General features: G+C 31.4%; 1 annotated feature.

Annotated features, from left to right (window-relative positions):
- Window positions 431-600: an enhancer, noted in NCBI's record as "experimental_74530 CRE fragment used in MPRA reporter constructs". NCBI's record gives its function as "activates a minimal promoter by MPRAs in K562 erythroleukemia cells, with activity observed for both the introgressed and non-introgressed 4:131457808 variant alleles {active_cell/tissue: K562}" and the evidence as "EXISTENCE:reporter gene assay evidence [ECO:0000049][PMID:34662402]".

The following is a 1,562-nucleotide window of genomic DNA, read 5'->3' as shown; positions in this document are numbered from 1 at the left end:
TCTGCTTAAAGGTTTTAAGAAAGAAAATGTATAAACATAATAAGTTACAATATTTTTAAAGGTCTTTATGTTACAAAATATGAAAAGGCAAATGAGTGAGGTGGAAAATTCTAACATATTGATGCTTATCTGCAGTGTATATTCATTTCCATTTTATTATCAGCCACCTAAACTTCATGCACAGTAATGGTCATATTTGTTTTTTTTCTTTTGAGTGTAAGATTAATGGGGCCAGAGACTTTATATATATAATACTCACACACACATACACACACACATATGTGTGTACTTTTATAATATAAAAATATATACACTATCTATGTATACTGTCTATTATTTATTTTTATTTAGGCACAGGAGTAAGTTGGACTGTTAAAACTTCTCTCTCCATCAAGATATGGTCTACCAGCAAGATACATTTTAAAATAAAAATTTACAAATAATCAAATAATTTCAAGGTGCCAACTGCTGAGGAGGAGTACAGGGTATTAATCAGATTTCCCTAGACTTATGTATTAATAATAGTCAACATAACAAAATCAAAACATATACATTCAAATTTATTTCTCTTGGTTAAATTGTACCTCAAGAAAGGGGAGAGGACTCTTTATTGTATATATTTACCCACATATCTAGGTTGAGAGAGAGTCTACCACGTGGAATATTGTCTAGTGTCAATAAAGGAGTAAAGTGTGGTCCATATAAAGAACCTTAGACTTTATTTTAAAAATAGTTTGAGGCAATTTAATAAGTTGTTAGCACTGGAATAGCATGTGATTTGAATATTCCAGTAAGGGAAAATAATTGGTGTTTGAGGCTGGATGTAAAGAAGCAAGTTAGAAAAGTATTATAGCAACCTAGGCAAGAGATTTTTTATTTTGAGTCGTGGTAATGTGGCACTAAAGGAGTTGTTAAACTCTAAAATCATTAAAACACAATGGATTGATGAATATGAATTGTCCTGGGAAGGAATGTGTGAAGTATAAATCCAGGTTTTTCTCTTTATCTGCTAAATAGAAAATGTCATTTATTGATAATAGAACAACTACAAAATGATTAATATTAGATAATAGCATGAATTCAACATTGGACGTGCTGAGTTGATAATCTTTGGGGACATCCATATGGGAATATCAGCTAGGCAAGTTGGGGAAGTACTGTAGTGTGGTAGTCGTGAACATAGGCTGGAGACTAACTGGATTATCTAAATTTCATTCCCACAACTTGTGTACACTTGAGTAAGTTATTTGTATTCTTTGTTTCCGTTTTATTATCTATATATAATAATGAGAATACTCCATATACCTACCTCATTGGATACTGTGAAAATATATGCAAATTACTGTAAACAGTGCTTGACATATACAACGTGCAAGGTATTTTTAATATTGTGTATAGATTTGGAAGTACAAACAGATGGCTATAACTAAAGCACAGAATTGAGAGTCACAAATATGCAGGTTATAAGTTTGGATGTGTGGGATTGACTAAAAGTACAGTATGGGGTGAGTAAAGTATCAAGAAGCAGAGGGGAAAAAAAGAGAAACTGACAAAAAAAAAAA

Source organism: Homo sapiens, chromosome 4 (assembly GCF_000001405.40).
Source record: "Homo sapiens chromosome 4, GRCh38.p14 Primary Assembly".
Classification (NCBI taxonomy): Eukaryota; Metazoa; Chordata; class Mammalia; order Primates; family Hominidae; genus Homo; species Homo sapiens.
The sequence above is the reverse complement of the archived record's forward strand: the minus strand, read 5'-3'. Positions and strand labels throughout refer to the sequence as shown.